Genomic DNA, 21,480 nt, shown 5'->3' on the forward strand with positions numbered 1-21,480 from the left:
ACGGAGGGTGGTGATTCCCACCACATCCCCATTCAGGTCTCCTATTTGGCCTGTGCAGAAGATGTGGATCTTGGAGAATGACAGTGGATTATCATTAGCTTAACCAAGTGGCGACTCCAATTGCAGCTGTTATAGTAAATGTGGTTTCATTGCTTGAGCAAATTAACACATCCTCTGGTGCCTGGTATGCAACTATTGATCTGGCAAATGCCCTTTTCTCCATTGCTGCCCATAAGGCCCACCAGAAGCAATTTGCCTTCACTGTCCTACCTCAGGGGTATATTGACATTCCAGCTGTATGTCATAATCTTGTTCACAGAGGCCTTGATTGCTTTTCCCTTCTACAAGATATCACACCAGTTCATTATATTGCTGACATTATGCTGATTGGACCTAGTGAGTGAGAAGTAGCAACCACTCTGGCCTTATTTGGTGATACATTTGCATATCGGGGGTGAGAAATAAATCTGACTAAAATTCAGGGGCCTTCTGCCTCAGTGAAATTTCTAGGACTCCAGTGGTGTGGGGCCTGTTGAGATATTCCTTCTAAGGTGAAGGATAAATTGTTGCATCTCGCCTCTCCTACAACTATGAAAGAGGTGCAACAACCTAGTGAGCTTATTTGTATTTTCAAGGCAACACATTCCTCATTTGGGCGTGTTACTCTGGCCCATTTATTGAGTGACACAAAAGGCTGCTAGTTTTGAGTGGAACTACTACCTAATGATAGGCCGATTACATTGAACTACTTCCATCGTGGAAGGGGCAGCAGTTTATCCTTGGGACAGACAGTTATTTCCGATATGGATTTGACTTTCCTGCATGCAATTCTTCTACCAAGACTGCCATCTTTGGGCTCACAGAATGCCTTATCCACTGCCATGGTATTCCACACAGCATTGCTTCTGATGAAGGAACTCACTTCCCAGCCAAAGAATTGCAGCAGTGGGCTCATGCTCATGGAATTCACTGGTCTTACCGTATTCCCTATCATCCTGAAGCAGCTGGCTTGATAGAATGGCGGAATGGCCTTTTGAAGTTGCAGTTACAATGCCAACTAGGTGACAATACTTTATAGGACTGAAGTCTTCTCCAGAAGGCTGTATATGCTCTGAATCAGTGTCTAGTATATGGTACTGTTTCTCCCATAGCCAGGATTCACAGATCCAGGAATCAAGGAGTGGAAGTGGAAGTGGCACCACTCACCATCACCCCTAGTGACCCACTAGCAAAATGTTTGCTTCTTGTTCCAGTGACATTATGTTCTGCTGCCTAGAGTTCTTAGTTCCAGAGGGAGAAATGCTGCCACCAGGAGACATAATACAAAAGTGGCTTGAGGAGCTACTTTAGGCAACTCAAGCTTCGGAGTCAACAGGTTAGGAAGTGAGTTACAGTGTTGCCTGGGGCGATTTACCCAGACTGTCAAGATGAAATCAGACTACTACTCCACAATGGAGGAAAGGAAGAATGTCTGCAGTTTAGGAGATCCTTTAGGATGTCTCTTAGTATCACCCTGCCCTGTAATTAAGGTCAATGGGAAACTACAGCAACTCAATCCAGGCAGGACTACAAATGGCCTAGACTTCAGAAATGAAGGTTTGGGTCACGCCACTAGGTAAAAAAGCCACAACCAGCTGAGGTGCTTCCAGATAGCAAAGGGAATACAGAATGGGTAGTAGAAGAAGGTAGTTATGGTTAGGGACAAGCTGCCCCAGGGACCACCGCCCCCCCCCGCCACCCCCCCCCCCCCCGCCCGCCCTGCAATGCAGCTGACCCTTACCCTGAATACTCTGCAGCTGCATTCCTAAACCCTTATCTAGGCGCCACAGCAAGGTCACCAGACTTGCTGAGCAAACCCTGATTATAGCCCCCCGGGCGGCACTGGAGAGGTCAGGAGAAACCTAGGTTACACCCTCTTGTAAATTCCTATTTTCACAAGATAATATACTGTAAGCCGGTCAAGAGATGATATGTGGTAAAGTTAACTGACAAACAATCCCAGAGTCTCTCTCCCCCATAGAAACCCCTCATTTTGTAAGCTCAGGGCTGCCTCCTGACTGTGGTGGAACAGCCCGGCAGGTTAATAAACTTCCTTGCCTGACCTTGGGTCTCTCTCTCTCTCTCTCGTCCTTTCTTTCGGCTAACTTTACAGTTATCAATACCAGCTGCCACTACATGACCCATTTCAGAAACGAGGACTGTAATTGTCATGAGTATTCTCTCCTTATTTTGTTAATAATACATTTGTGCATATATACACTTGTATTAAGCAGATATCTTTGTCTTTTCTTGTTCCTTTATGATGTAACATAAGATTTACTGACGTCACATCAGCATTTAAGTGTTGTTAATTTTATGTAATAGTATTTAAGTTAAGGATTAGTGCATTTTCAATTGTACAAAGGATAGTTACATTATGTTGGGTGGAATTATGACCTTGTTATTGTCTTTATTTGGAGATAAGTATGATTTAAGAAGGTGTGTGTGAGTGCCAAGTTGACAAGGGGTGGACTTGTTATGGTTAATAGAGATGTCAACCTGATTGAATTGAGGGATGCCTACATGACTGGGGAAGCATTGTTTCTGGTTGTGTCTGTGAAGGTGTTGCCAGAGGAGATTGACATTTCAGTTGTTGGACTGGGACTCAGTGTGGGTGGGCACCATCCAATCAGCTGCCAACAGAGGCTGGAACGAAGCAGGCAGAAGAAGGGGGACAAAGCAGCTTGCTGAGTCTCCTTGCTCTCTCTCTTCATGTGCTGGATGCTTGCTTACTCTCCTCCTATCCTTGGACATCAGACTCCAGGTTCTTCAGCCTTTGAAGTCTGGGAACCCCACCAGTGGCTCCTGGGGGCTCTTGGGCCTTCAGCCTCAGACTAAGGGCTGCATTATTGGCTTCCCTGCTTTTGAGGCTTTTGGACTTGGACTGAGCCACACTCCCAGCTTCTGTCTTTTTCCAGCTTGCAGATGGCTTATTGTGGGACCTCCCCTTGCTATCATGTGAGCCAATTCTCCCTGATAAACTCGCTTTTATATATACACATATCCTATTGGCTCTATCCCTCTGGAGAACTCCTAATACAGGTTCAGAATTGAATGTGAATTTAGATTGAGAAAATAAATCACAACAATTTATTGGATTCTTGGAAATTCTGGTCCCTTTCTTCTGATCTCTCTTTAGGCAAATTATCACACATGCTTACACAGAATACCTCCAGATTGCAGCCTGGCTCCCCTGACCCCATCTAGAATTCTCCACAACCCCAACAACAGCTGCCCAGGCTCAGGGAAGCCTTGAAGCTCTGACCTCACTGCCTTTGACCTCCCCTCTCTTTCTGCCTCCTTACTACTCTTGTTTGTACCATGCCAGTGCCCACTGTACAGCTTTTCCACTTGCTCCTTCCTGTGCTTGAAATGTTCCATCCCCAGCTGTCCACAGAGCTCACCTTCTCATCTTCAGGTGTCTGCTCAAATGTCACCTCATCAAAGCAACCTACCCTGTTCTCTCTGTAAAAAGCAGCAACCCCCTTCTGCACTTTCTATTCTCTTTACCGTGCTTTAATTACTCTCATAACACTACCAGCTGACATATTCTGTGTTTGCACATTTGTTTGTTAATTGCCAGTCTCCCTCCTTTAGAATGGAAATTCAGGAGGATAGGGACCGTTTTGTCTCCTGTAAGTATACCTGGCACCTAAAACTAGGCCTGGCCCTTGATAAGACACTTAAAAACTATTGGTTGAATGAATGAATATAAGTTGAATAACAAGGAAGCCTTATTATTTTTCAATATGGAATCAACTTTTTAAGGAAATAATTCACTCCACATTCCCAGCCCATATCCTCAATTATCAGTTACCTCAGTTACCTACTGGTGTGTGACAGCTACTATTTTGGCTACCTGGCATGCTTCCACATCATTCTTACCCTAATCCCACACTCCACTTATCCCCAGGGATAAGCACACACTCTAGGTATGGCCAAGTGGTGTGCTCCAGATGATTAGTCAGAAATGAGCTCACCACCTAAGCTTGGCCAATCCATGACTTCCTCAAGATCATTCTCACTGGAGTTAGGGAAGAGGAAGTAGCCCCTTGACATGTGTCACATTATTGAGCTAGAAGGCTGTGAATTAAGGGCTCTGAGGGATGTGTTTTTCCCTAGCAGAGAAAGAGATGGCTTGAAAGTCCCAGCAGCATGGAGCCCTGGGTCCAGTTTCTGGAGCTCCTCTGCTTCCTGCAGCTCTTCCTGCAGTTCCAGGATGCTGGAACCTAGGAGTTTCCCAGCATCCTTCCAACTTCCTTTTCTGCTTTAACAAATACCAGCTGAGCTCCTGTTACTCATGATTAAAACTCCTCACTAATATGCACCGGGCACCAGGCTGTTCACTGAGGATGTAGTGATGACCTGGACACTATCCTTGCCCTCAAGGAACTTACAACCTTCACGGAGAAAGCAGAAGGGAAGATGGTAATGGCAATGCAGTCTGAACACATGTATTGGACACGGGACTTGCCGGAATTCAGAGATCTGACATGTGTCATGACACTGATCAGCTGCTTTAAGTTCTTGTGATAATTCTAGGTTCAAAGCAACCTAAGGCTCTAAAATAATATTGTTGGTCATCAAATCAATATATATATTAACTGAGCACCTACTGTATGCAAGGGTTACCATAAGTGCTATGATACAGACCTGTAGAACATTCTAACTGGGGTAGGTTGCCCTTCTAAAAAATAATAAATACTAGGTAAGTATGAAATGAAGTCATAGGACATTCTATTTCTTCCTGTGTCTTTCTTTTTTTAATTCTTTTTTTTTTTTTGAGATGGGGTCTTGCTCTATCACCCCAGCTGGTGTGCAGAGGCATGGTCATAGCACATTGCAGCCTCCAACTCCTGGACTCAAGCGATCCTCCTGCCTCAGCCTCTCAAGTAGCTGAGACTACAGGTGTGCACCACCATGCCCAGCTAATTTTTTTAAGTAGTGATGAGGTCTTGCTATGTTGCCCAGGCTGGTGTTGAAATCCTGGGCTCCAGCCATCCTCCCACCTCAGCCTCCCAAAATGCTGGGATTACAGACATGAGTGAGTCACTGTGCCTGGCCCTATCTGTGGCTTTCTAAAGGAGCAGTTTAGCATATGGTTGGGAGTGTGAGCTTTGGAATCCCAATTGTGTTACTAGCCAGGTGATCTTGGGCAAAGTCACTTTATCTCTGTGAGACTCAGTGTCTTCCTGTAGACTGGATAATATAACTATTTATTTTACAGGGTTGTTAGGAAGATTAAATGAGTCCATTTGAGTAAAGCAGTTAGAATAGTGCCCAACACATAGTAAATCCTCAATAAATGTTAGCTAACAACACTATGTCTAAATCATATAAATTATAAATTCCTCAAAAGCAGGAGCCTTGCATTATTTGTAGCTCTGCTAACACGTACAGACCACTCAAGATTTTTCTAGTTGCTCAGCTCAGCAGTATTAATATATTAGCAGATGTAGCATTGTCTTGCTTGCTGGTTTCTCCATCTGCTCTAAATTTAGTACTAAATAAAGATAGTTGTGGGGGTGGAGGAGGTTTTAAAGATCTCTGGTCCAAATCCATTAGGTTTTTTGTTGTGTTTGAAAGCTGTAATCCAGAGAGAGTTTGAAAGCATATGCTAAAGACCATTTTTAGGCATGTTTTGCAGAAATGTATAGCATCTATTTACATTATTATGTGTTTCCATACTTTGACTGTCAATCCTTTGCATATAGTAGTATCCTAACTGATGTTCCAAATTTGCTACTATGCTATACATGGGCTTGCATAATTCCTAATTCATAACATATGGATATTAAATAGATTAGCTTATGAGAAGCAATTCACTTTTTTCCATCTTGGTAAGTAGAATAGTCACAATCCAATAAAGATAAATAAAGATGTCTAGGACTAAGGCATCATAATTACACCTTATATTTGTATAGTGCAAAATAACACCTTACATTTGTATACGTTATTTAATTCTTACAACTACTCAGTGAAGTAAGCAGGCATGGAAGTATCATGAATTCCATTTTATAGATGAAGATATTAGAACCTAGAGGTTTTAACTGACTTGCCTAAGTTTACTACATGGTAACAAATGGCAGAGCCAAGATCATACTTGGGTTTCTTCACTGCTAGCCCAGTGCCCTTTTTACTTTACTGGTAGAGGAAAGTGTTAGGAATTTTTATTTTCTTCCACCAATATTTACAGCCTGACTCTACAAAGAACCTTACCAATGGTGGTCTGTTGTGAGCCTTCAGCAAGGTATGGGTCTCATATGCTTAATCCCAATTTGTAAATGTTATAGAGCCACCCCCCTGGCAAGGAGGATTTATATCAGGCAAATGTTGCAGAAAACGATATTTAGCTGCATCTGCTACAGCTGATAAACTTTGGAATTGAAAGACAAGAAAGAATCATCAATGAAGTAACTCAAATAATGGGAGAGAATCTCCCAGTCAACACTGAATATCCTTGCTCCTTAAATTTCAAGCTAAAGATGCCTATAAAACTCCATATAATATAACCACAGAAGATATTTTGTAGGTAGTACTTTGCACAAAAGCAATCATAGGAGTTTTACAGTTTGTTTTTATTGGAAGAGAGCCACAGCTCCAGAATTTCTTGTCATTGAATAGATGGGAGGGAGCGGGAGTTAGAAGCAGAAAAGAGAATCAGCCTGAACATACAGATGCTGGGGACTATGCGGTTGGGGCAGAAAACGTTTATACTGTAAGGAGTTAGTGTGAGTGGTGGAGAGAGAGTGACTAAAATTTTTACACAATTACTATATAAATTCTTTTTTTTTAGTATATACATTCTGATCAGACTAGTGTAAACTGGCATAGACAAATATGAAGCAGTTGATGTTGTACATAGAAATGGGAGAAAAGAAAGCCAGACAATGTAAAAAATTTATTCCCCTCCCACTCCAGATAACACCCCAGTGTGAGAGTTAGGAGTCCATATATTTCAAGAGACTGAAACCAATTCAATGAGCTTGAAAAATAATAAGATGTATTGATTCTCATAGGTCAAAAAAACAGGGATGGTACCAGCATCAAATGCAATTGGATCTGAGGCTCAAAGGAGAGTAGGGTTTTCCCTCTCTCTCCTTCTGGATTTCTACTCCGTTTTCTTGTTTATTATCTTCTTTCCTACTGCAAATGACCTTCCTCGATGTAGTCAGAGAAGTTGACTGCCAGCAGTGGCAGGCCAATACTCCATGCTGGGGTACCACTGTCAAACCAAATCCCAGCACAAAGAAAGAAAATGTTTCTCTGATGGCTTCCATGTATGATGTCTTAGAGAAGGATTGTGATTGGTCAGTGTGGGCCACATGTCTGCCCGTGAACCAGTCTCAAGCTCTAGGGCAATGGAGTGCCAGGACTGGCCAATCCTTGGTTATGTCTCCACACTTGTAGCCAAAGCAGATGAAGTCTGTCACCAGAAAAGTGGTAAAGAATTCGGCTGAGCTATCCCAGTTCACTACAGCAACAGTTCCCAAATTGACCTGAAGATAAACATCCCCTGGACCCTTGTTAAAAAACAATTATTTGGCTCCCAGCTTAGACCTCCATAATAAGAATTTATATAGGAGAAGGATGGTAATTTGTATATTTAGCAAGTACCGCAGGTGTATTAGTTTCCTATTGCCACTGTAACAAATTACCACAAATTCAGTGGCTTAAAACAACATGGATTTATTATGGTCCTGGAGGTCAGAAACCCAAAATTGGTTTCACTAGGCTAAAGTCAAGGTGTTGACAGGAGGTTTCTTCTGGAGGCTCTGAGGGGAGAATCCATTTCTTTGCCTTTTTCAGCTTCTGGTGGCTGGCTGTGTCCTGGTCCACCATCTTTGAAGAGCATCACTCCAGTTACTGCTTCTATAATCACATCACCTTCTCCTCAAACTTTGACTCCTTCTGTGCTCCTTTTATAAGAACCACTGGACATTGGGTCCACTTGGATAATCCAGCATTATCTCCAAGTTCAAGATCCTAACTCAGTCACATCTGCAAACTCCCTTTTGCCATATGCTATATGGTTGGGACGTGTCCCTCAAATTTCATGTGTTGAAAACTAAATCCCCAAATTCATATCTTGATGCTATTTGGAGGCAGAGATTTGGGGAGGTAATTAGTACTAGATGACGTCATCAGGATGGGGCTCCTATGATGGGACTGGTGGCTTTATAAGAGGAAGAGAGACTTGAGTTTGCATGCCTGTGGTCTTTTGCCATGTGATGCCCTTCACCATGAAAACCCTCATCAGAAGTTGAGCAGATGCCAGTGCCGTGCTCTTGGACTTTCCAGACTCCAGAAGTGTGAGAAATAAATTTCTTTTATTTATAAATTACCCAGCCTCAGGTATTCTGTTATAGCAACAGAAAACAGTCAAAAACACTATTCAAGGTAACATTCACATGTTCCAAGGTTTATTAGGACATGGACATAGTGGGGCCATTATTTAGCCTACTGCACCAGGTAGTTATTTTTTTTTGAGACAGAGTTTTGCTCTTGTTGCCCAGGCTGGAGTGCAGTGGCGCAATCTTGGCTCACCACAACCTCTGCCTCCTGGGTTCAAGTGATTCTCCTGCCTCAGCCTTCCGAGTAGCTGGGATTACAGGCATGTGCCACCATGCCTGGCTGGTTTTGTATTTTTAGTAGAGATGGGGTTTCTCCATGTTGGTCAGGCTGGTCTCGAACTCCCGACCTCAGGTGATCCACCCACCTCGGCCTCCCAAAGTGCTGGGATTACAGGCGTTAGCCACTGCGCCCGGCCTGCACCAGGTAATTATTATCAGGTAAATTTGAGAAACACTGATAAAGGAGTTAAAAAGAAATTACTTAGGCAGATTGTGAAGGTAAGAAAGTCCTTGGTAAGGTTTTTCTTTTAATGAAAAGCAGCCCCCAAATCATTTCTTTTCTAACAAAGAGCAGCCTGTAAAATCGAGCTGCAGGCATAGACAAGCAAGCTGGAAGCTTGCATGGGTGAATGCTGGCAGTTGTGCCAATAGGAAAAGGCTACCTGGGACTAGGCATGATTAAAATGGTAGCTCCATATTTCCTTCTCTTTGCTAGCCATGTGTACAGTAAGAAGCAGACAAGATGGCACTGGCCAAGTGGACAGCCCATTTGCATAATAAGATTGGGGTGGGGCAACCAGCCGTCTCCTTGTGCCATGTGAACATCACACCTGGTCGAACCAATCTGTGGGGCCTTCATAAATCAGACACCACCTCTTCAAGCCTGCCTATAAAATCTGCTGCAGTCTGCTGCAGGCCAGCTTTTCCCCTTCAGACAATGCCTCTCTCTCTCACAAAAGAGAGCTGCTCTCCTTTCTCTTTGTTTTGGCTATTAAACCTCTGCTTCCAAATTCACTCCTTGTGTGTCCGTGTCCTTAATCTTCTCAGCACGAGACAATGAACCCCAGGTGTTTACCCCAGACAGTGATGCTGCTTCAGCACCACAGGAATGGTTAGTTAACACCACAAGTGCAACATAAATATTCCAAACTATAAATATTATATAAGCATAACTAATCACTTAACTGCATATAATATATAGATGCCCCAATTGGGTGGCCCAACCACCATGTTTTTGAATGTGTCAGTAACTCATTTCATTTTTATTGTTGAGTAGTGTTTCATTGCTATGGTTTTGAATGTCTCCCCAAAACTCATGTTGAAATTTAATTGTCATTGTGATGGCATTAAGAGGTAATGTTATGTTGAAGCACAAAGGCCATCACCAGATGCTGCTGCTATACTCTTAGTCTCCCCAGCATCCAGAACCGTGAACCAAATAAATTTCTATTGTTTATAAAGTGCCCAGTCTCAGGTATTCCGCTATAGCAACGCAGAATGGACTAAAACATCCACTGAATGAATTTACCACAATCTGTTCATCCATTCACCTATGAATGGACATTTGGATTGTTTCCAGTTTTTTCCGGGCCAGGTGTGGTGGCTCACACCTGTAATCCCAGCACTGTGGGAGGCTGAGGCAGGTGGATCACTTGAGGTCAGGAGTTTGAGACCAGCCTGGACAACATGGTGAAACCCCATCTCTACTAAAAATACAAAAAATTAGCTGGATGTGCTCACTTGAACCCAGGAGGCAGAGGCTGCAATAAGCCAAGATCGTGCCACTGTACTCCAGCCTGGGTGATAGAGCCTCTGTCTCACCAAAAAAAAAAAAAAAAAGAATATTTATGGAGCCTCTTCCACATGTATTTTCTCTCCCATCTCACCTCCTACTTCACTCCTCTCTTATCCTGCCCTAACTGTGTTGACCTTACTTCTGTCATGTGAATACACTGAGCTTAGTTCTGCTTCAGGATCTTAACATCAGCTCTCTCCAGATTTTTGCATAGCTCTCTCCATCATTCAGGTCCCTACTCAAATGTCACCCTCTCAGAGAACCTCTCCTGATTGCCCTATCTAAAATAGTACTCCACCTCCTCCCCCAATCTAATTCTCTATGGTCTTTTTTTTTTTTAATAAAATTGCAATTATCACTTTAATATTATATTATCTGTTTGGCCACATGTTAATCATATGTATCACCCACTAGAATGTAAGTTTGTTTTTTTTTCATTTCTAACTTTTAAGTTCCTGGGTACATGCGCAGCATGTGGAGGTTTGTTACATAGGTAAACATGTGCCATGGTGATTTGCTGCACAGATCATCCCGTCACCCAGGTATTAAGCCCAGCATCCATTAGCTGTTCTTCCTGATCCTCTCCCTCCTCTCATCCCGTCTCATCTGACAGGCCCCAGTGCGTGTGGTTCCATGTATCCATGTGTTCTCATCATTTATCTCCCACTTATAAGTGAGAACATGCAGTATTTAATTTTCTGTTCCTGCATCTGTTTGCTAAGGATAATGGCCTCCAGTTCCATCCACGTCCCTGCAAAGGACATTATCTTGTTCATTCTTATGACAGCATAGAATTCCATGGTGTATATATACCACATTTTCTTTATCCAGTCTATTACTGATGGGCATTTAGGTTGATTCCATGTCTTTGCTATTGTGAATAATGCACCAACAAACATATGCATGTATGTGTCTTTATAAAGAATGTATTTAATAAGTTCGGGCACAGTGGCTCACGCCTGTAATCCCAGCACTTTGGGAGGCCAAGGTGGGTGGATCACAAGGTCAGGAGATTGAGACCATCCTGGCCAACATGGTGAAACCCTGTCTCTACTAAAAATACAAAAATTAGCTGGGCGTTGTGGCACGTGCCTGTAATCCCAGCTACTTGGGAGGCTGAGGCAGGAGAATCGCTTGAACCAGGGAGTCAGAGGTTGCAGTGAGCTGAGATCGCGCCACTGCAGTCCACCCTTGTGACAGAGCAAGACTTTGTCTCAAAAAAAAAAAAAAAAAAAAAAAAAAGAATGTATTTAATAAGTTCTTTAAGGACCAGGAAATTTGTCTCACGCTGTATCTCCATCTAGAGCAGTGCCTGGCAAAGAGTAGAAATTCAATAAATTTTTGTTGGATGAGAATTTTCATTTAAATCTTAGGAAAAGAAAAATTTGAACAAGTGTTATACCTACTTTTATAGCCGAAGCAACTGAAGGTGAGACAGGTTCAGTAACTTGCCAGGAGGGCACAGAGATAGAGCCAGGATTTGAATGCTTGTCCATTTGACTTCAAAGCTCATCCATTGTCTTAGCCTCTATCTACCGTCTCATAATGAAGTGGAATGTATACACACAAGACTACAAAATCAAGTGCCAGTGGAGTGCCTTGAGGTTGTTTGGATGAGATCAACGGAGGAGATGGAGTCATCAGTAGGAGGGGAGTTGGCCTCATGCATGAGATTTGTAAAGATGGAGGCAGGAGACAGGGCAAACCTTGGGCCTGGGTCTGCGATTGTCCACCGTGGCTTTGTCCTTGGCTGAAGAAGCCAGTTCCCATCTTCTCCTGGGAGAGCAGTGAGGATGGAGGGCCAGCTGTAGGGTCAGGACTGTGTAAGCCGCATTCCTGGGCCTTTGTTTCAAACCTACCAACAAAGAACACTCTCTGGGGAGCTTTTGTGGACTGTGGTTAGGCCTGCAGTCAGGACCCGCATTCTAACTAACCAGTGTAGCCTCTGGCAAGTGCAGAGCCACTTTGCAGCTCCCTGGCAATGGAGATGATCTGTGTACTGGGGAAGGCAGCTGGGCCCAGAGGGGCTTTTGAACCACAGCATTTTTCTTAAAGATGGGGGATGTTATTGTTGAACCAGGTAGGAGGTGACCTGGGAACCAGCCTCCCTGAAAAGGAGGAGGGAGGGAAACACCTATGCCCAGGGTTATGTGGTGCTATTTCCTTCCTGATTAAAGATGTAGATGCCTTGGTACCCGAGCCCTGGAGGAGGCTCCCTCAACCTGAGAAAGCACTGTGCTGCAGCTCATCCTGGGAGCCGGCTCCCCTGGGTGGTACAGCACAGAGGGAAGGAAGGGGGCCGCAGTTCAAGGGCAGCAGCTGGGAGAAGCATGTCAGAAGTGCCAGGGAAGCAAAAGTCGGCTAGGGAAAGGAAAGGGGAGGAAGGAAAAGCAGAGAGGCAGCAGCAGCTCTGGGAGAAAGGGACAGCAGACATTAGAGGGGCGAGTGTTCTGGGAGCCTCAGAGCAGTGATGGATTTTCCATCTTTCCTTGGAGGAGGGGCTGGGTCTTGGAATCCCCTCCCTTCTCTGCCCCTTACACACAGTTTGTCCTGAGGAGCAGACATGAGGTCTGTGCTCACCCAAGCGCTCACAGTCTCCTTCTCTCTTCAATACCCATCTGCTGGGCCTAATTCTTACCTCAAAAAGGTAACTCTTGATTATTCTTAAAAGTTTAAAAAAAAATAGTAACTGTGATTCTGGTCTAAGCTAAAATTATTTTTCCTCAAGGTTGTCTCCCAAGAAAAATGCTTAAAGAGGCCGGGCACGGTGGCTCATGCCTGTAATCCCAGCACTTTGGGAGGCCGAGGTGGGCGGATCACCTGAGGTCAGGAGTTCAAGACCAGCCTGGCCAACACGGTGAAACCCCATCTCTACTAAAAAATACAAAAATTAGCCAGGTGTGGTGGTGAGCACCTGTAATCCCAAGTACTCAAGAGGCTGAGGGAGGAGAATTGCTTGAACTTGGGAGGTGGAGGTTGCAATGAGCCGAGATCATGTCATTGCACTCCAGCCTGAGTGACAGAGTGAGACTCCCTCTCAAAAAAAAATAAATAAATAAATAAGAAAAATGCTTAAAGAATATGGAAATAATTTGGTGGTGTTTAGGTAGATTGTTTTCCTCCTCAGAGTTGAAAGTAACACAGATATTCATTAACTTTTATCACTGAAATGACACCATAGCACTGTAGCCCAGGCTGGAGTGCAATGGTGCAATCTCAGCTCAGTGCAACCTCCACCTCCCTGGCTCGAGCGCTTCTCCTGCCTCCACCTTCTGAGTAGCTGGGATTACAGGCACATACCACCATGCCTGGCTAATTTTTGTATTTTAGCAGAGACGAGGTTTTGCCATGTTGGCCAGGCCAGTCTCAAACTCTTGACCTCAAATGGTTTGCCTCGGCCTCCCAAAGTACTGGGATTACAGGCGTGAGCCACCGTGCCTGGCAGGTTTGTTTTGGATGAACTTGTCATTTCCAGCACTCCCTGCTTGTGATGTTCTCTCTTGTACCTGTGACACTGAGGAAAACCGTTAGATGCCAAGTTCACCTGAGGGACTAAAATCTGTCTAGATGTAAGTCTGATCTGGCGTCTACTGGGGGAAGGGAAAGACTGGATAAACTGTGTTTCAGTTCATATCCATTGCCATTCAATTCTGCATTCTAAGATATGGCAACCAGTAGGCTCACTCTACATGTTTATTCAACGGAAACGATGTCCGAAAATTTAACTTTCATCACAAAGCATTTTAGGTGGGTAGAATCATGACTGTGAACTGTCTCCTAAATAATTTAGTGTTCCATTATTCCCCTCCCCAGTACATTTTAGATTTAGGTCCTACACAGTTCTAGACCCTGGATTCTAGGGCTTTGCCTCTGGAACCAGCGGTATTGGCCTCACTTGAGAGCTTATTAGAAATGAAGAGTCTCCAGCCCACCCTCAAATCCAAGGAATCAGGATTTACTTTTTAACATGCTCCCCAAGTGATCTGTGTGCATGTTAAAGTAGGAGAAATGCTGCTCTGAGGCATCTGATCAGCAGGCCCTCCCAGGCCCTGGCTTCAGGGTAGAGCTATTTGGGTTGCAGATAGCACCATGCCACACTCTGTGGGCAGAGAGTTCAAATTCCAGCTCTGCTGTGAACCTCATCACAGGGACAAGTGACCTAAAATTAAAAAAAAAAAAAATCAAACTCACAGAAAAGTCGCAAGAATAGTACAAAGGGCCGGGCATGGTGGCTCATGCCTGTAATCCCAACACTTTGGGAGGCCGAGATGGGTGGATCACGAGGTCAGGAGTTCAAGACCAGCCTGGCCAACATGGTGAAACCCTGTCTCTACTCAAAATAAAAAAAATTAGCTGGGCGTGGCGGCACACACCTGTAATCCCAGCTACTTGGGAGACTGAGGCAGGACAATGGCTTGAACCCGGGAGGCGGAGGTTGTGGTGAGCCGAGATCGTGCCACTGCACTCCAGCCTGGGTGACAGACCGAGACTCCATCTCAAAAAAAAAAAAAAAAAAAAGAATAGTACAAAGAACTTCTGTAAATACTTTACCTAGACTCACCAACTATTAACATTTTGCAGTGTATACTTTATCATTTTTTTCGCTCTACCTATGTATGATGATTATTCCTGAATTCTTGGAGAGTTAATTGCATATACTGGCATGTCTTTACCCTCAATACTTCAGTGTGTAGCTCTGAAAACAAGGACATTTTCCTACATAACGACAACACCAGGGCTAGAACTAGATGGAGGCTAACAAGGCCTGAGCGTGAGTGGCCCTTCAAGAGGGCTTCCTTCAACTTTGTACCCTAGGAGCCTCTGTTGTCTCGCCCTAGTTCTGGCCTGCATGCTACAGTTATCAAAATCAGGAAACCTTACTATTATCTAATCTATAGTCTATTATATCTAATCTATAATCTATTATATACCTATAGTCTAATCTATAAGCTATTTTCCAATCATGTCTATTGTCCCAATAAGGTCCTTCGTAGCAAAAATTTTCCCCAGATTCAATTCAGGATCATGTATGACATTTACTTGTCCTGTGTATTTAGTCTCCTTTGATCTGGAACAGTTTTTCAGGCTTTGTCTTTTATGATATTGACATTTTTGAAAATTATAGACTAGTTATGTTACAGAATGTCCCTCAATATGGGGACAAGTAACTTTTTAATCTCTTAACGGTTCAGTTTCATCACTTGTAAATTGGGAATAGTCCCTCCTTCATGTTGAATCAAATAGATGAAGACACGTAATGGGCTTGACACATGGCAGGCGCAGGTGGATTAAACAAGAAGCTGCCACTGATCAGGCACTTGTCAGCGCCATGCCAAGTGCTTCAAGTGCATTGTCTCATTTCGTTTTTACTGCAGCTCTGTGAGATGGGCTGTATTTTTACCCCTACTTCACAGAAGAAGAATCTGAGACTTAGAATCATTTGTCCAAGGTCTCATAGCTAGTAAGGAGTGACATGGGGACTTGAATCAAGTCAGTGAGACTGCAAAGATTATTCGCTTAGTAACATGCTTGTGGTGCTTGCTAAAATCTAGCTTTTTAAACATAAAATTTTCCTAGAGTTCACCATTTTAACCATTTCAAAGTGTACATTCAGTGTCTCTTAGTATATTTACAATGTTGTACAACTCTCAGCACTATCCGATTCCACAACATTTCCATCACCTCATGAAGAAACCCTGTACCTCCCAATTCCCCTGACAACCACCGATCTGTTAATCTACCTCTGTTTCTGTGGCTTTGCATATACATAAAATGAAATACTACTAAGCAATAAAAAGGAACTAACTACTGATACACAGTAACATTCTGGATCTCAAAAACAACATACTGAGTGAAAGAACCCAAATACAAAAGACTGCACATGGAAATATTCCATTTATGTGAAATTCTAGAAAAAATGCCTTAGGAACAGACAGCATGGCAGTGGTTGCCTGGGGACAGGAACATATGGTTGGGAGGTGGCACTGACTGCAAAGGGGCATAAGGGAACTTTTTGGAGGGATAGAGGTGTTCTAATACTTGATTGGTAGTGGTGGTTACACATTGCATATATTTGCCCAAATGCATCAAATTGTCCACTGCGTCGAGTTTATAATATGTAAATTATACCTCAATAAGATTTTAAAAAAAGAAGAAAAAATCCCAAGCATATCTGGTCCTGAATGGAGTTCAATTCATCAGCACAGCTACCTTCGTTGTCTGGCCCCAGATCCATCTTCCCAGCCTCATCTCTCGCTTCTCTGACACTTGCCATGGGCAAGCCCAGTGTTGGGCACTCAGAGAACGTGGGGGAAGGAGAACCTCTATCTTCAGGGAACTCACAGCCTAGTCTGGGAGCAGAAAGAAAGGGCAGCCAACTCTGACACAGCAGGGCACCATTCCTAGAGGACCACTGAGTCCTAAAGGACAGGAACAAGAATATTCCAGACACAGCCTGGATTCCAGTCATTTTGAATCTCAAGTTTGAATCCAGTTTCAATCTAATATTTTGAATAGGTAATACATTTCTATGGCTGTATACTTTAAGCCAAAGAGATGACAGAGTTTATTTTATTGCTTTTAGGAATGTGGGAATCACTTGTAATATTTAGGTTAATTGATGTCAAGTAATTTTCAGGAGCAACTGGAATTATTTTAAAAATCACTGGATTAAACTGGGTGCAGTGGTGCATGTCTGTAGTCCCCAGCTACTCAGAAGGCTGAGGCAGGAGGATCACTTGAACGCAGGAGTCTGAGTCCAGCCAAGGCAACACAGCAAGACTCCATCTCTAAAAAACAAAACCAAACCAAACCCAAAACATTGGGTTGACACTAAAATATCATGATGCTAACTTGTGCCAGGAGGTCCTTTACTTGAGGGAAGAGCACTCTGTCTCCATCCCAAGGATGAAAAGATTAAACTTCTATATTCTCCTCACCCTTAGAAAGCTCCTATTCATAGGAGGTAAAACCATTAAATAAAACAAAAGGAAAATAAACCTTTCAAGTCTTTGCCTGCGCCTATCAGAGATCTATGTGGAACTGGCAGTAGCTTGGCTCCCTTTGAGTGCTTTGGAACTATGGTCTTCAAGATTTCTTGCTTGCTTTTCTCCTAAAAGAAATTTGAAAAACTGTGTTTTTTTCTTCCTTCCTTTCTTTCCTTTTTCTTTCTTTCTCTCTCCTTCCTTCCGTCCTTTTTTTTAAAATAAGAGATAGGGTCTCATTCTGTCACTTAGGCTAGAGTGCAGTGGCATGATCACGGCCCACTGCAGCCTCAAACTCCTGGGCTCAAGCAATCCTCTCACCTCAGCCTCCTGAGTGGCTGGGATTACAGGCATGAGCCATCACGCCTGGCTAAAACTGTTTCTTCTTGAACTTTTAAAGGTCATATCTAAAATGTTTCATCACAAGTTTAAATAATAGTAAGGTTTGTTATTTCTGGCGTAAGTATTGGCATTTTAAAATAAGATTGTTACATCATTCTTTAAACGTATCCAAGGAAATTTAAAGATCATAATGCATCTATCAACCATTTAAAAAATATATGAACAAGCTTTTCTTTAAAGTAAATTTTACATCACTTTTTTTTTCTTATCTTGTATTTCCATTCCACTTACCCCTCAATATTTTAATATAATATTTTAAGCTGGAGAGTCTTTTATTGATCAACCTATCATATTTCCCTACAAAAAAATTTTTTTAAAAAAATTCTTGACTGAGTCTGATAAGCTTAAAAAGCTCATTTTGATTGTATAATTTTAATATCTAATTGATCTAAACAACATAAAATATTACATATTTTGGTATCTATTAAAATTAAAGGATATTTTTGCTGAATGAAATAGAATTGGGTCAAACCTAATCCTAGTTTTCACTTCTATGGATAGAAGCACAAACACCTTGTTCATTCATTCAACAAATATTTATTGAGCACCTCCTACGTGTCAATAGCTACTCTAGGCACTTGGGATACACTGGTAAACACTACAGATAAATCCTTGCCCTCATGGAGCTTACATTCTAGCGGGGGGTAATAGGCAATAAACAATAAACACAACACATAAGTAAATCATATAGTATGTCAGAAGTGCTATAGTAAAACAGAAAGCAGGGTAAAGGGGCTTTGGGTGTACTGTGAGAGTTAAGAATGGGCTGTGATTTTTAAAAGGTCAAGATAGGCTTCAATGAGGTAACTTTTGACCAAAGGAGGTGAGAGAGTTGGCAATGCAGATATCTGGGGGAAACATGTACAAGGCAGAGGGCACAGCCAGTGCAGAGGCCCTAACTTGGGAGCATGGCTGGCATCTTCTAGGGACAAGAAAAGAGGTCGGGAAGGTTAGGACATATTGGAGAATGACTGATAGGAAATGAGATTAGAGAAGTAATGCTCAGGGTGGAGTGGTGATGCTGATCTTATAGAACCCTTTAGACTATTGTAAGGATGTAGATTTTTACTCTAAATGAAATGAGGATCATTTAATGCAGGGATTTAAGCAGAGTGCAGATGTCTGACTTTTTTTTTTTTTTTTTTGAGACGGAGTCTTGCTCTGTCACCCAGGCTGGAGTGCAGTGGCGCGATCTCCACTCACTGTAAGCTCCGCCTCCTGGGTTCACGCCATTTTCCTGCCTCAGCCTCCCGAGTAGCTGGGACTACAGGCGCCCGCCACCACGCCCGGCTAATTTTTTTGTAATTTTTAGTAGAGACAGGGTTTCACCGGGTTAGCCAGGATGGTCTCAATCTCCTGACCTCGTGATCTGCCCGCCTTGGCCTCCCAAAGTGCTGGGATTATAGGCGTGAGCCACTGTGCCTGGCCCTGACTTCTATTTTAAAAGGATCTCTCTAGCTATTATGTTGGGAAGAGGCAAGCATGAGAACAGGGAGAGCTTTTAGAAGATGAATCCAAAGATGAGATGATGGTGGCTCAGACCAGGGAGCAGCAGTGGAGGTGGTTAGGGATGCTCTGTGGATTAGACATGGGTGTGAGAAAACGAGGGGAATCCAGAATTGCTGGACAGCACTAAGGATTTACTTGAGGTTCATGGTGATGAAATTAAAGTGAAACTGCTCAGGGTTTTTGGTCTGAACAACTTGAACAATAGAGTTATCAAATGAGATTGGAAAGCTAGTGGGTTCAACAGGTTTGAGGGAGAATATTGCTCAGTTTGTGACATGTTTGAGGATATCAGAATCTGGAGTTCAGGTAAGAGATCCGAGCTGGAGATATAAATTTAAGAGTTGTCATCATATATGATGATATTATATATCTTAGATGGTACTGAAAGTCAGGAGACTGGATGAGATCACGGAAATGAGTATAGATTAAAAAGAGTTCAAGGGACCAGGTGCAGTGGCTCATGCCTGTAATCCCAGCCCTTTGGGAGGCTGACGCAGGCAGATCACTTGAGGTCAGGAGTTCAAGACCAGCCTGGCCAGCAAGGCGAAACCCTGTCTACGGAAAAATACAAAAACTAGCCAGGTGTGGTGGTGGGCGCCTGTAATCCCAGCTACCTGGGAGGCTGAGGCAGGGAGAATTGCTTGAATCTGGGAGGCAGAGGTTGCAGTGAGCCGAGATCATGCCACTGCACTCCAGCCTGGGTGACAGAGAGAGACTCTGTCTCAAAAAAATAAAGAGTTCAGGGAATAAGCCCCAGTTAAGGGGTCTGAGAGAAGAGATGGAACCCAGCAAAGAAGACAGGGAAGGAGGAACCACGAATGAAGGAGGAAAACCAAGAGGATGTGGTTAAAAAAAGAGAATCAAGTGATGAGCTGTGTCAGCTGTTACAGATAAGATGAGAACCGAGACTAGATCATTGGGTTTAGCCAATGTGAAGTTCCTTGTTGGCCTTCACAAGAGTGGTTTTGATACGGTAGTAAGGATGAAAGCATGAATGGAGTTTAAGAGAGGATGGGAAACCTAACACTCAGCTGATGACCTAAAATACGCCACATGTGTACCTCGCATGTAATGATTCTACTACATATGTATGGAGTCTTAACATACGTATCATGCTTGACATGTTTTTGAACTTTGTATAAATGGTATTGTATGGGATGTATTCTGCTGTTGCAGAATGGGAGAAGAACTGCAGACAAAGTATAGAAAACTCTTTTAGAAGTTTTGTTGTAAAGGGAGTAGAGAAATAGGTGATAGCTGACAGTAGAAATAGGTCAAAGAGAAGAATCTGTAGGATTGGAAAAATCACAGCTGCTTGTAAGCTTATCAGAATGACCCAGTAGAGAAATACTGATAAAACAGAATAGGCGGATAATTGCTGGAGTGACAGTGAGGATCTTGATTAGGCAAGATAGTACTGGAATCTATGTCTTGGTGACAATACTCCTTTAGCTAGGAGCACGGCAATTCAACCATGTGAGGGTGGGGAAGGCAAAGTAGAGGCTGGTATGTGGGTGTGGGTGATGCTGAGATTCTGTGGAATTTTTTCTCTCATTGCTTCAATTTTCTAAACAAGGCTATTAATTGAGAATGATTGAGGAGAGGACATGCAACTTAGAGGACAGAGAACGTACAAAATCCAGAAGAATGGAGGCGGGAAGTAGAATTGCTGGACAGCATTAAGGGTCTATCTGAGGTTCATGGTGATGAAATTAAAGTGAAGGTAGTCAGTGTGATTGTGTTCTTCTCTCGCCACATTCAGATGCATGGGTGCCAGCTTGAATCAGGGTTGTGGCTTTGCCAAGCAAGCACAACAAAGGGAAAAAAAGGCAAGGGGGCTGAGGGCATGTGTAAGAGTGATTGTGATTGGCTGGGGGTTGAGGCTGGGTGACAGCAGATATGAGGGTTCAAGAATTGTTGCAGTTAGAGTACTATAGGGAGTGATCTGGAAAACTGAGGTAGTGATCAGGGTGTGAGATGTTTGAAACTGAGATAATGAAGAAGTTGCAGAGTTTGATAAGGCTACGGTGATTATGACCATGGGAGGAAGTGGCTGAGTTAGGATATGTGCAAGTTTGAAGTTAGAGAAGGTACAAAATCTAGAATGATCAAGGGGAGGATGTGTAAGTTAGAGGACAGAGAAGGTATAAAATCCAGAAGAGTGGATCAGGGAAGTATAAGAGAATTGCTGAACAGCACTAAGGGTCTACCTGAGGTTAATGGTGAACAGTGGGAGTCTCCAGCCAACAGCCAGGAAGGACTGAGGCTATCAGTCCTGAGGCCTGCAAGGAACTGAATGCTGCCAACAACCACATGAGCTTGGAAGCAGATCCGCTATCCCAGCCTCACTTTGTAGAGGACCCAGCTAAGCAACGCCTGGACTCCTGACCCAGAGAAA

At 43.2% G+C, this 21,480-nt stretch overlaps 2 long non-coding RNA genes across 2 annotated transcripts in view, besides 1 other annotated feature; both read right to left on the reverse strand.

The window, feature by feature from the left end:
- Window positions 1-21,480, reverse strand: part of LOC107985152 (uncharacterized) — a 55,307-nt gene that overhangs the window by 30,491 nt on the left and 3,336 nt on the right. The window lies entirely within an intron of this gene.
- Window positions 3,841-4,135: an enhancer, noted in NCBI's record as "tiled region #5267; HepG2 Activating non-DNase unmatched - State 23:Low, and K562 Activating DNase matched - State 9:DNaseU". NCBI's record gives its function as "activates a minimal TATA promoter and a strong SV40 promoter by Sharpr-MPRA in HepG2 and K562 cells {active_cell/tissue: HepG2 | K562}" and the evidence as "EXISTENCE:reporter gene assay evidence [ECO:0000049][PMID:27701403]".
- On the reverse strand, window positions 11,099-13,008 carry LOC124904303 (uncharacterized). Its single transcript, XR_007066372.1, has 2 exons — window positions 11,595-13,008; window positions 11,099-11,500 (listed from the first exon to the last, which is right to left on the reverse strand). It is a non-coding gene; the product is annotated as an uncharacterized LOC124904303 (long non-coding RNA).

Source organism: Homo sapiens, chromosome 18, assembly GCF_000001405.40.
Source record: "Homo sapiens chromosome 18, GRCh38.p14 Primary Assembly".
NCBI classification, from domain to species: Eukaryota; Metazoa; Chordata; class Mammalia; order Primates; family Hominidae; genus Homo; species Homo sapiens.